Source organism: Homo sapiens, chromosome 13, assembly GCF_000001405.40.
Source record: "Homo sapiens chromosome 13, GRCh38.p14 Primary Assembly".
NCBI lineage: Eukaryota > Metazoa > Chordata > Mammalia > Primates > Hominidae > Homo > Homo sapiens.
This window is the reverse complement of record NC_000013.11, coordinates 51420139-51433138: the sequence shown is the minus strand read 5'-3', so window position 1 is coordinate 51433138 and position 13000 is coordinate 51420139. Positions and strand designations below refer to the sequence as shown.

The window sequence follows — 13000 nt, the reverse complement described above, 5'->3', positions numbered from 1 at the left end:
TAGAAGTGATATAGAAGACCCTACTACAAATATTTGGTCCATGCTGTGGTGGCTTTTAGAGCTTTGCTGATTTTTTTTTGAAAGGCACCAAGTCAACAAAAGTAGTTTAGCTTAAGGGTGGAAGCAAGATAATATAGTTTCGAAGCTATTAGGACCTCTTGGTTTTCTTTATCTCCCTTAGGCAATTTTTGAGCTAAAATACTGGTAGAGACCAAGAGAGAGATTTATTGTTATGTGTACATATGTTTATTATGTATGAGAGTAGAGATTATATATCATACACTTAATAGTAACCACTCAAATCTTTGAATGGCCAACACGAATGAGTAGATAGTGGATGGCTGAAAGACACAAGAGGGAGATAGTGCTCCTTTTTATACTCTAGTAGCCCAGCAAATTCATGAGTTGTTATGCGTTGAATTTGGGGAGTACACATTTATATTGAGGTAAAGGTAACATACATTTTTTGAATCTTTTTGAAGTTTGAGTAATTCTAAATGGTTCTGTGAACCCAGGCTGATTTGTATTAAGCTATATTCAGTGAGTCAATGAATAAGTTGAAGTGTTTTGTGCCCAGTACCTGCTTAGTGGTGTGGAAAGAAATATGACATATTCTTTGCCTTCAACATGTTCAAACACATGAAAAAATAGCAAGCAATACAAGATGGTGTTTTTTTTTTTTTAATAAATTGTGGTAAACACAACAAAATTTACTGTCTTAACCATTTTTAAGTGTATACTTCTGCAGTGTTAGATATATTCACATTGTGTAAGATGGTGTGTATTTAAATTCATATTTAAATTAAAAATTATTTGAAAAGGTGGGAGGATAGATGTTGTAGGGAAGTGGTATTCAAATTGTGCTCCATGGAACCACTCAAATCCAATTTTAAAGAAACATTTTATTTACCTTATTTATTTAATTTAAAGTGTAAAAACTACCACTATTAGAATATGGAGATGGAAAGATGTGATTACTAAAGGCCATAGTAATCAGGGAAGGCTTCGTGGAAAATGCAGAGATTTAAACTGGGCCTTAAGGAATGAGTGGCAGTTGGGTAGGTTTGAGGAGGGAAGAGGAAAAGCATTCTACTTTAGGGAAACAATCAAAGCTAAGAGTTGGGAATGAACATTGCCTGAGAAGACCTATATTATTAGAATTTATTATATATTTTGGGGGTGAATGGTATGAGAGACAATATAATGTAATGTAATAATTCCCCAAAATGAGTTCTTTTTAACATGAATATTACAGAGGAAAAGGAGGGATAAATTAATTCATGTTTTCTCCCTGCAAGACTCCTGTGACATTTTAATGCTGCTATGCATTTAGAATCTTCTAGAGATTATATCTAACATATTTTAAGTTTATTTAACCAAAGGAATCTTTCTCCCCCGGAACCATTTTTTTCTTGGGCACCAATTAGAAAAGTGCACGTGTCACTTACAAGTTGAATGATTTGATCAAGACGATCTATTACATGTCCCCCTTCCCACTTTACGATGATTAGGTTATAATCATATAACTAACTGTGAATTCATTCAATAAATATTGCGTATATATTATAATATGTTAGGAATTGAGAGTTGTAAGAGAAAGGTTATAGGACCATAGAATATTATATGTTTATAACTCTTCTACATTCTTGTTGTTCTAAGTATGGTCTGTGGCTATTAGTGTCTTCTAGCTGCCAGTCTTGTTAGAAATGAAGAATCTTAGTCTTCATCCCAGACATAATCAGAAATTGCATTTTAAGATCTCCAAGTGGCTCATATGCACATTAAGAAATTGTCATACACAGTTCTACATTTTATCCAAGAAAGCTTCATTCAATTCTTGGTACCATTAGTGGCAGAGAATTTGATACCTTTGATTTCAAATACAAGGTTTACCCTCTTGAAATTTATATCCTTTGGTCTTAGTTCTGTCAGTCCTTCAAATGGGAGCCATTTATATGTAAAAGGCAAGCTTATGTTTGTCTTAGTCCCTTACAGATGTGTCGCCTAGAACTCATCGTTGTGCTAGTAGAGTGGGTTGGCCAGAGATTTGAATGGAAGCTATTGAAGTTATCTCACCTTCTATATAGAGCATTTGAGAACCCGTGCTACTCTGTTCCATTGCTTTTGCTACCACTATTTTTGTACTTTTCTCTCCAAGCATTTTCTTTAGGTAACCATTTTTAATTTTAACTTTTCATCTTGTACTGTTGTTAAATTTTTGCTGAATTTAGAGTAGCTCTACTATTTCCATAGAAATAGCTCTTAAAATCTTTCAAATCATTTACCTAGTTATTTGCTTAGACATTTCGATTACATGCATACCTTGTGGTAATGTTCACCTACTGTCTTGCCTTCCTTTTTAAGAAAGTTTCTCAGGAAATGTTCTTTTTTTATTGTAACTTGTAATATCTACAAAAATCAAATTATTAGAATTGAACTACTAGGGTCCCTTTTAAGAAATTAAATACTCTTAGTAACATAAATATACTCCCTCTAAAAATGAAAGCAATACACAAATTTATAAAGAAGTGAAAAATCCACCTCTTTCTCTACCTAATCCCTCTTTCTCAGGGTTAATCACTGTTTAGTTTATGTGTCGTTCTATATCTTTTCTTAAAATGTACAAACAGGTACATACTACATGTAAAATGAAACTAGAAAGGGAGATCGTATATATGCTGTTCTGAGAATTGACTTTTTACTTTGTAAGCCAAAGTCTAAATCTTTGTATGATCAATGTGTTTTTTGACTTTAGGGAAGAAACCCTTTTTTCTTGGAGCCAGCAATAATTATCACAATTACTGATGGGAGCAAGTTGACTACCACCAGTGGAGTCCAGGATGAGGTAAGTTGTGCTTATATTACATGGATTATGCAAATGCAGTTGAACAATCCTTTATTTTTGTAGGATACTGAACACCTTTAATAGGTTCTCTCGTTGATTATTTGATGCAATTTAGAGTCATCTGTCTCCTATGGCCCATCTTTGTTTGTAGCAGTGTTCTTATTTTCTTGAATAAGAATCTCTTCTGTGAGAAATGTTTGAGCATACCCACACCTCATTTGTATGTGTAATTATGAGTTTATGTGAGGGTGACAGTTTCAGTCTGTCATAAATAGTAAAATGAATTCCTTAGTTTTTTTCAGATTTAAAAAAGGGAAACAGCGTTCTAGTAATTTCTTCCTATATTTCAGTGGATTGTCGTTGGCAGTCCAGCGACTGTGGAAACTCCTTGGCTAGAGTATAGCAAAGCCAAGAAGAGGTGTTAAGACTAGGAAAAGTAAGGTTTTTCGACATTTTTGTTTTCTCTAAGTCAAATGTATTATACATATATATATATATATATATATATTTTTTTTTTTTTTTTTTTTTTTGAGACAGAGTCTCACTCTGTTGCCCCGGCTAGAGTGCAGTGGCACAATCTTGGCTCACTGCAGCCTCCACCTCCTGGGTTCAAGCGATTCTTGTGCCTCAGCCTCCCGAGTAACTGGGATTACAGGCATGAGCCACCATGTCTGGCTAATTTTTGTAATTTTAGTAGAGATGGTGTCTTGCCATGTTGGCCAGGTTGGTCTCGAACTCCTGACCTCAGGATCCACCTGCCTTGGCCTCTCAAAGTGTTGGGATTACAGGTGTGAGCCACTGCACCCAGCTGTATAAAAAATTTATAGCTAACCTTATCTATTCTACAGCAACATTCATTATGCAGAGTTGTGTGTGGTGTGGTATAATGAATATAATAGATTTTTTTAATTTTAAGGTGTTTTTACTATGGTATTTGAACTGCTCTTTAACATGGGCTGATATAGAAAGGTGATTGTTTTGATGGAGCTTTATTGTTTGCATTTGCTTTAGTATCTTAATTCCCATGGTATTTATAAGGGTTTAATTAAGCAGGAAAAGTATACATTTTAAGTTCAGTAGCTTTTAGAATTACTTTATTTGTGTGACATTGTGGAATACAAATTGGACATGGAGTCAGGGCATGTGGGTCCTAGTCTTTGTTTATCTACTTTCTAGCAGTAAACTTTGTACCAGTGACCTGACTTCCTAATTTCTATCCTTCTCCATGAAATAAAGAGAATAACATTTGCCTTACTTCATAGGGTTATTGGAAGTTTGAAATAATGTATATGAAGGTACTTAGTAGGCTGTAAAGAGAAGTATATAGTATTATTCTTTCATGAGGCATTGGAACCACTAAAGAGATATAATTCTCTGCTCTTATTTGGGGGAAAAGAGCTAAAATTGTTTTATTTGAACAGTTGATAATAAAGGGAATTTAGGATATAATTCATGGAGATAGAGCTGAAAAATTTAGGTAGATTATAATCCATGATTAAATAATTTATAGTCTATATATAATCAGTAGCCTTGGAATGCTCTGTAGCTGAACTTGATGGGCTTTTGGGCTTTGTTAGATTAGTTGACATGTACAGCCAATTGTGGTCCTGCTACTTTCAGAAACAGGTAGACGTGGATTATATAAAAAGCAAGCAATAAAAATTCATTTTAGCCGGGCGTGGTGGTTCACACCTGTAATCTCAGCACTTTGGGAGGCTGAGGCGGGCAGACATGAGATCAGGAGTTCAAGACCAGCCTGACCAACATGGTGAAACCCTGTCTCTACCAAAAATACAAAAAAATTAGCTGGGCGTGGTGGCGCACACCTGTAATCCCAGCTACTCAGGAGGCTAAGGCAGGAGAATCACTTGAACCCAGGAGGTGGAGGTTGCAGTGAGCTGAGACCGTGCCACTGCACTCCAGCCTGGGCAACAGAGCAAGACTCCGTCTCAAAAAAAAAAAAAAAAGAAAAAAAAAGTCATTTTAAATTTGAAGCTCTCAAATTAATTTTTCTTCTTAATAGGACACATAATAGTTAACAGCTTCATTCAACTTTATATATTAATAAATTAAAAGTCTTTTGAATGTTTGTTTTGTTTTTATCCATAATGATTTTGCTTGAGAAGTTATTTCTGTTTTCTGTTGTAAAGTATTCTTATGTGCGAGGTGATGCATTTGAGGTGCTGTCTACTGCCTTTGTAGAAATGCCCTTTGGGGTACAATGTATTTTGTTTCCATATGTCTGGATCTGTTTTGTTTGTAAAATTTGTTTTGTGGAGACCTCTTCTAGCTTAAAAATATCTTGAAATATACATGTGTATTGGAATTGCTCACCTTTCTTCCTATGTCTTTCCTTGGGAAGGATTTTGGAAAAATAGGGCAATGTGTTTATAACCTGAAACTACCTTGCTAGTAAGGTTAGGAAGATTTTCCTGTGGGCAGAGTTTTTACCTTTTAGTTCTATCTTTTACAATACTAGCATAGTATTGACAACAGAGCCTATATTTTTAAAAAGTATTGATTATAAACATTGGTGTATTGAATCTGGTAGTCATTGAGTTCAAAATTGATTACCGTTGCACCTTATTATCTGAGGTGGAAGGTTCATTTGTTTTAAAGCAAAAGTAAATTATTTTGAAGTTGGAACATAGGCCGGTGAGTTGTTTCAAGGTTAGGAATGTCTTTGATTCCCTGCGTGTTTTCTTCTTAATGTACCAACGAGACTCTCGTTGGAGCAATGAGAAAGTTATCCTAGATTAATTTTTGCTAAATGTTGTGAGATATTGTGAAATATTCTAGCCTAAATAATTATGGGATTTGTTTTAAGGAGCTTTTCAATTCATAGAAAAGCATAAAGATGCTTTTTGTATTGTTCTTCTGTGTTTGTATTGTGCACGTGCATGAATGCTAGATATGATCTGTATTCTGGTTCCTACTAGGGAATAACAATTTTGCCTTTATATCACTGTCTTTTCACATCTCTCAACCTTTGCCTCTGGCAGAACTTGATTCTTTTTTAGATTTATTCAGTGTATGAATGTGTCATTAATTTCCACATTAGAGATATGTGTACATAATTCCTGTTTGGCTTGTGGCTGGTGTTGGTATGACCTATTACTTTTTATGGAGTTGTATAATTCCACCTGTATGATATCCTTTGCTTAAGAGTCATGTTATCCAACATTGTATATTATATCTGTTCTGTTGGTGCTGTTTTTCAGGAGTAAATGTTCTTGCTGCTTTAAAATCATCCTTATATCATATGAGGAAATATAGAACTCATTTAGTCTTATATTTTACAAATGAGAAAATTGAGATCCAGGGAGTCAGAGTGATTTGCTTAGGTTATAACATTTGTTACTGCCAAAATCTAGATTAGAATTTATCAATTCCAAAGACATTCCAGCACCTCCAGACCAGTGCTTTCTTCCTGATACGGCTGCTGCCTTTTTGCTTGATTCTAAATTTGTGTGTTCTTAAAATTTACCTTCTATTTATCTGATTTCTTATTTGTCTACTTCAGCTTTCTATGTAAGTGTCTTTTAGGTATTCTGTTCTTATTCAGTGTTCCATGAAAAACTATTATGACCAGAGCATTTCTAGGCAATGAGGATAACAAAGATAAACAGGACATATCTGGTTCTTAATATTTAAGTTCACAGTGTTATGGGGGAAATCACCTATTAAATGGTTTTATGAATGATAAAATAAGGATACATACTAAGTGTGTGGGAGTACTAAAGCAGGGGAAGGGTTAATATTACCTTTCGTGTGTCAAATCTTGTATAATGTGCATTTTTATAGTATAATTTCATTTTTGAATGACTGAATTCAAGGATCTTATGGATGATTTGGCATAGGGTGTGGCTCCTACCTTGTATCTGTGAATTTTAGGAAGAAGCCCAGTGTAAAGTTGTTTTGAGCCTAGAAAATAGTTTTCCTAGCGGCAGGAAAAATGTGGTGCCATATTGTCTCTTGACCTGGCTAAGTATGTATAGGCCCAAATGAACCAATTTCTTATAACTTGTTTGTCAGAAAAATGTAGGAATACTGTTCTCTGGGACAGCTCGTCACTTAGCAATGTGTTATGAGTTAGGAAAGAAAAGTAATAGATACATTATGAATGAAAATCTTGAGCTGTATATGATCATTTTACATTAATTTATGATTTCAATTATATCCTTGGGCCTCATTTAATAAAAGTCCAGGCCATTGTCTGAAGTGTCATGAATGTATTTCTAGTGTAGTCTTTTTGGATAACTGTCTAGGATTTCTGATGATTACTTGGATTGAATTTTATGTGTATATATTTGGCTTTTTTTTTAATGCAGCTATTTGATAAAACTGGTTGTAGCATTTTCACTTACGAGGAGTGTGTTTGATAGGACTTTGAATTCTGAAACACGATAAAACTATATTACTTACTTCCTTAGTAGTTACCGTTGATGTTGATAAACATACCTGTGTCCAGATACTCAGTACTGTTTGTCATGTTATATAACTGATATATCAAATGTTTTGGTAGAATCAACAAATTAGAGTTATTGAAAAGGATTTTCTTCTGATATCTGCAGATAATCCTCTCTAGTACTGCTTTGCAATGGAAAACTATTCTGTACTATGATTCCAGGAACACATGGCTAATGAATATTGCTCAATAGAGGAGCCCAGAAGAAATCCTGCCAGTACTTTCTTAGTGATGAATGACATTCCAGGATAGTGTAGCAGTTATTTTTCTCTTCCTTGAAAGTGCTAATAGTAGTATTGTCTTTCAAATATTGAGATTTCTATATGCTGACAAGTCCTTCTGCATCTCTTTACCAATGTTATGATTGCTGTGGAGGCTAACGTTGAGAGAAGGTATTTGCAGCCAAAGTAATCTGTTGGGAAGAGTTTTACTTGCTTATTAGCTGTCCCAGCTTTTTAAGCCCAACTAGGACAACTACTTTTGTAACTTCATGGGATAGATATTCGGTAAGGGCATGTCTTCATAGAAAGAGAATGAGTAGTCTCAGCTGTGTATTCAAATGGCTGTAGATTGGGGTCTTCTATTCCAACTTGTGGGTTCTCAAAAATGGATGCAAAAGTCCACCATGCTTTGAGATATGGATAATTCTAGGCATTGTAAATGGGTTTAGTTTAACTGGTGAAGATTATAATTATGATGTGCATTTAATTCTTAATGATTAAAAGACAGGCCAGAAATTTTTGAAATCAGTTTCTAGTATCTGAAATGATTAAAAAACCACAGCTCCCTCCCCTACCTCCCATAAAATGTTTTTATTCACTAAAATCACTAAAAATATTTGCCTTAGGGTGTCAAAACTCTGATTTCATTGTATACTTTTAAATATATATTTAAAATAGTTGCTTTTCCTAAGACACTTAGAATTTTGGAGAACTTTCTCTTTTTTGAAAAGATCTGTAAGGAATTTTGAGGGATGCCACAGTGGTGTGATAGAAAATATAAAACATTTTATCTGTGTTACATGTGTTTGAATTTTCATGTTTATCCTGTAGTAGCCTCTTCATAGTGATATTACTAGGGACTCAGTAAAAATCTGAAGATTAGCTCTTGTCTTACTGATTTGCGATTCAGATGTTCTAAATACATGCATAACACTACTGTATATGTTAGTCTCTGTCAATTCATCTTTCTAAGAACATTTAATAAGAATTTGTTGAATGTAGACCATTTGTATTTCTTTTTCTACTCATATTTTTGGCCCTGTTCTCTCAACCCCTGGATTTATTACTGCTGGTATGTTATAGGAATATATACATCTGCAATTATTAGTAGTTTAAAAATATGTAATTATAATAATGCATAATTAAAGAAGTTGATGAAATATTTCAATTTAATATAGTAAGTTTTCAGCAATTTACATTTGCAGTACTCTTATTGATATACTTTTTTTCAAGATCATGTAGTAAGAAAGACTCTTCAGTACTTCTAGGCAAACACAACAATGGAGAAATTTAAAAGAAATGCTGGTTGATCATTCTAACAAAGCTGTATGGCCACAGTAACTAATCCGCTATCTAGAATTCTTTGTTAAGATATATCAAAATAGTTTTTATTCAGAGGGTGAAGCAATTTCACCCTGTGTTTATTAGCCTGTTAGAACCAATAAGCAATAAGAGAGTCTACATATGTAAGGAAAATTTTATTTAGAGATGTTTCTATTATCCAATTCTAGCTCTTATATATATAAAGTACTGTGGTATTTAGAACAGTAGCTTTGAAATGGCTGCAGGCTGCATCAAAATCACCTGGTGTGCCTTATAGAATACACATGCCTTTGTTCTTATTCTGGAAATTTTGTTTCAGTTGATCTGGGTAAGGACCTGGGAATCTGTATTTTTACAGTGTCTCATGTGATTCTGATGTACAGTCAAATTTAGAAACTATAGTTTTAGAACACAATCTAACCACAATTTTTTTTAAGCTACACAAAAAGCATGTGAAAATGAACAACTTTAACAAAACAGGTTAGAAAGTTAGAAATGTTTTTGACTTAGAAGGCCACCAAAAAGTATTTTTTTAGGATAAAAATAATTCTTGACCTTTAGAATTGTTAAATTTGGGAACGGGTTTCCAAGGGATATGGAACTGGCCTTCTGTGAATATTTTTAATAGGATAATTTCTAATTTGCTTGATATTTTAGAATAAGTTATTGAATAGCCCCCAAAAATTAACTTCTGTGCTGACTGCAGTCAATCTGCAGTTACTGCTTACAGTGTGCTATATTGAGGACTCTCCTTAGACCCCATATATGAGGAGAGAGGCTAAGAAGAGAAGAGCAGTTAATTTATATTATCTGTCATGTGTTTCTTATCCCTGGCTTAGGAATTTTTATCCAAAGGATGGTATAGTATTCTGGTATCCTTACTAAGCCATAATTCCTGATTTGGATGTCCATGTAATTAGCATTATACACACACACATGCACACACACACACACCCCCTACCTTACCAGATGAGAGCAGTTTATAAAGAATTGGTGATAGTTACACTTAATTTTCTAGACAGTTGCTGCAAAAATACCCTTCCAGAATGAATTCGTTAGATTTTGAATTGTGAAAGTATATTTTAAATTAATTCAGCAACAGTTTTCCTTGTGATACATAGTTACTTTGGCTGTGTATAAGAATAGCGGCAGCTCCATACGTTTATATTTAGTTCTATATTTATGTTCTAGGTACTGGGGACACACAGATGGAATTAAGCAAGGCTAGAAAACGTATTATCTTTGAAGACAGGCAAGTAAATAAACATTTGTAATACATTAAGATAAATCTCATGGCAGAAATAAACAGAAGGTTCTGAGACAGCGTAAAGAAAGGAGTAAAGTTTTGAGGGAAGAGTAAGGAATTGAGCCATGACATATCAGGAAGAGAAAACAGTATGCAAAAGCATGAAGACTTGAAAACAGTGTATCAGGAGATTATAAATTGTACACCTGGAGTATGGAAAGTATAGGTAGGAAGAGTAGAAGCTTGAAATGTAGGTAGAGGGCAGGTAATAGCACCCTAAGGAGACAGGACTTCATTCTGTTAGCATTTGCAGGGAAGGTATTGAAGATTTTAAGCAGGTGAGTCACATGATCAGATTTGCATTTTAGTAAGATTACTGTGCCAGCAAGGTGAAAGGTAGACTGGAGGGTGGTAAGATGGGAAGAGTTAGCAAACTACATGTAACAACCTAGAAGATATGGGGAATGCCAAAACTTAGCTAGTGCTGGACAGGAAGGCAGAATTCTGAGAGGTTCGGTAGGTAAGCTAGGCAGGTTTTCAAAGATGATTTGTAAGATAGGAGAAAAAAGGCAAAGTATTTGACAGGAGCCCTGAACCTAGGGTCCATGCTTGGTCTGAGGAGAGTTCTGTGAATTCCCTGACATCCTGTCTACACATTGTCCATCTGTGTGCATGAACTTTTTTCTGGGTAAAGAGATCCATAGCTTTAATCATATTCTCAAATAAGTAAAAATATACTGGTTTAGTATTATTTTCCACTTTCCAACTTGGGCATCTATGTGGATATTTGGTAGTGTTAACTGAGATGTGGGTGATAAAAAATAAAGGAGGAGAAAGGAAGGTAAAGTAATTGACAGACAAAGTATCATTACCTTTCGTGTAAGGATGTTTTAAAGGATTTATAATTTAACATTTAAAACAATTACCTCAAAGACTTTTTCTTGCCTTTTAACATTATGTTTTAGGAAAATATTTTGTATTTAAAAATTGAAATGAGCAGATTCTGATAGTTAAATTTTTTTTTTACTTTGAAGCAGATTTAAATAAATAAGCGTTAAATCAGCTTTTAAAGTTTGTTTGAAATTTAAGGACATATGATATGAACATTTAAAATTGCTTATTTCAAGCAAACATTGAAAATTCTACAGAATGCTAGGTTAAGAGCAGTGTGTGTGTGTGTTTTACTCTGTGTACTGGTGTCAAGTAAGTCAGAGGATACTAGCCTAATTTTTTATTTAATAGATTGGCACTTTTCTGTTAAACTTAGCCTATTTGGGTGTTTCATGCTTCTCCATGTCAGATTTCAATTTTGAGAGAATGAAAATGTTGAGTATGTGGTTTTCTGATGGTGCACTCTCTTGTAAATAACCCTTAGGCTGCTAGTCATTTATAAATACCTTGATAATACTTATTTAGCTGTATTTCCATAGTGATTTTATTTAACTTCCACTTTCACTTGTTCTTTTCAGATGTAATACTGTAGATATTAAACTTTTTAGACTTTTATATTAGGAATAACCTTAGTGCAGTGACTAGAAAGACATTGAAACTATGGGCTTTACATCAAGGCAAGGCTGCATTTTGATCTAGACAAGGCTGTTTTGGTATATTTTTCCCCACGCTCTGTCTTTTCAGATTGAATTACTGATTTTTCCCCCTTTGTTTTGTTTGTTGTGGTTTTGATGTTTTTTTTCCTTTCAGCTAAAGGAGCAGCCCAGTGGTTTTCAAGAAGTGCTAAAGTGCACTGACTGTCTCATGATGACTGGTGCCTCAGGGAGGGTCATGATTCCTGGATACAGGATCGACCTGATCCTGGATGTCACTTCAAGCAGTCAGATCGTGGGGAAAAGCCTTGTCTAATGGCTAGCCTTCCTCAAAAGTCTGATGCTAGTCATCTCGGAAGGCCTCAGAAAAAGCCTTAAAGGTGAGCAGAGTAGAGTGTAGTTCTCTCTGGGGGCTATGACTATTTGTTGGAGAATCTGATTCAACATAGAATGACAACCCTAAACTGATAAATCCAGGTTCAATTGGTAATTAACTTTGAGCTTATAAATTGGTTGATGATGATTATCAGACCCCAGCTTTTGAGTTAGTAGAACCACCTTGCTAAGCTTAAGATCTGTAAGTGAGGAACTCGGTATTTCCTGGGGCTCTTCACAGCTTTAGGTTAGTATCTGTTGTCTTAGACCGAAATAGCCTTGCTATCATAGCTAAGGAACACTTTGGTTACAAAATTGCACTTGGTTGTTAAGTATGGATAGTTTTTTTTTTTTTTTTTTAATTTAGCTAGCAAGGTATTCTCTTGATTTGTATATTTATTAGATACCAGTTATTTGGTATTACCAATTATCAGGGTTTGGAAGGATAAGTTTGCATTTGCTTTGTCTGTTATAATAACCTTTTTTAAAAAAACATAGCTACCTTTGAACCAAGTTTGGATTTATGTAGCTCGTATTTTATTGCATTCTGTTGAAGAATATTAGTACTACCTGCATCATTTCAATGACATTTTTAGCACCAGAAAAAGATTCTCCAGAGATGTTTTGAGTATTTTGGAAAAAGTTTAATTCTGGGCCTCTTTCTCTGTGATTTGAAGCACTCACAGAACTCAGTTATTCATGTAATAACATTGATTGCTAATAACGTTGATTACTAAATTTAAATGCTAAAGCTTGTCCTAAGACTTAACTTTTTTTTTTTAAATGAACCACCTATATTAGTAAAAAAAAAAAAAAATTAAGTATGTACCATTCCCAGTGTATGCACATTTTTAAATTTAGAAATTATATATGTGACTACTGCATTAATATTATTATGTTAAAAACATATATTAAAATAGAACTTTAAAAAGATGAGAGGAAAAAATTTATACAAAGGAAATTCTGATCTTTGCTTCT

The 13000-nt window shown here is 34.1% G+C and overlaps 1 protein-coding gene across 9 annotated transcripts in view; it reads left to right on the top strand.

The window, feature by feature from the left end:
• The window catches only part of INTS6 (integrator complex subunit 6), a 118632-nt gene that overhangs the window by 19898 nt on the left and 85734 nt on the right, over positions 1-13000 (top strand). For 7 of the 9 annotated variants that reach the window (XR_007063673.1, XR_007063676.1, XR_007063675.1 and 4 more), the window contains one exon: positions 2756-2845. Coding sequence is in view for 3 of the 9 variants with exons in the window: in XM_011535040.4 (XP_011533342.1) it covers positions 2756-2845 (90 nt within the window). In the remaining 6 variants the exon portion in view is untranslated. Of the gene's footprint in view, positions 1-2755; positions 2846-10048; positions 10110-11804; positions 12028-13000 lie in introns of those variants that run through there. The other 2 variants (NM_001306091.2, XM_047430264.1) reach the window with 2 other exon arrangements.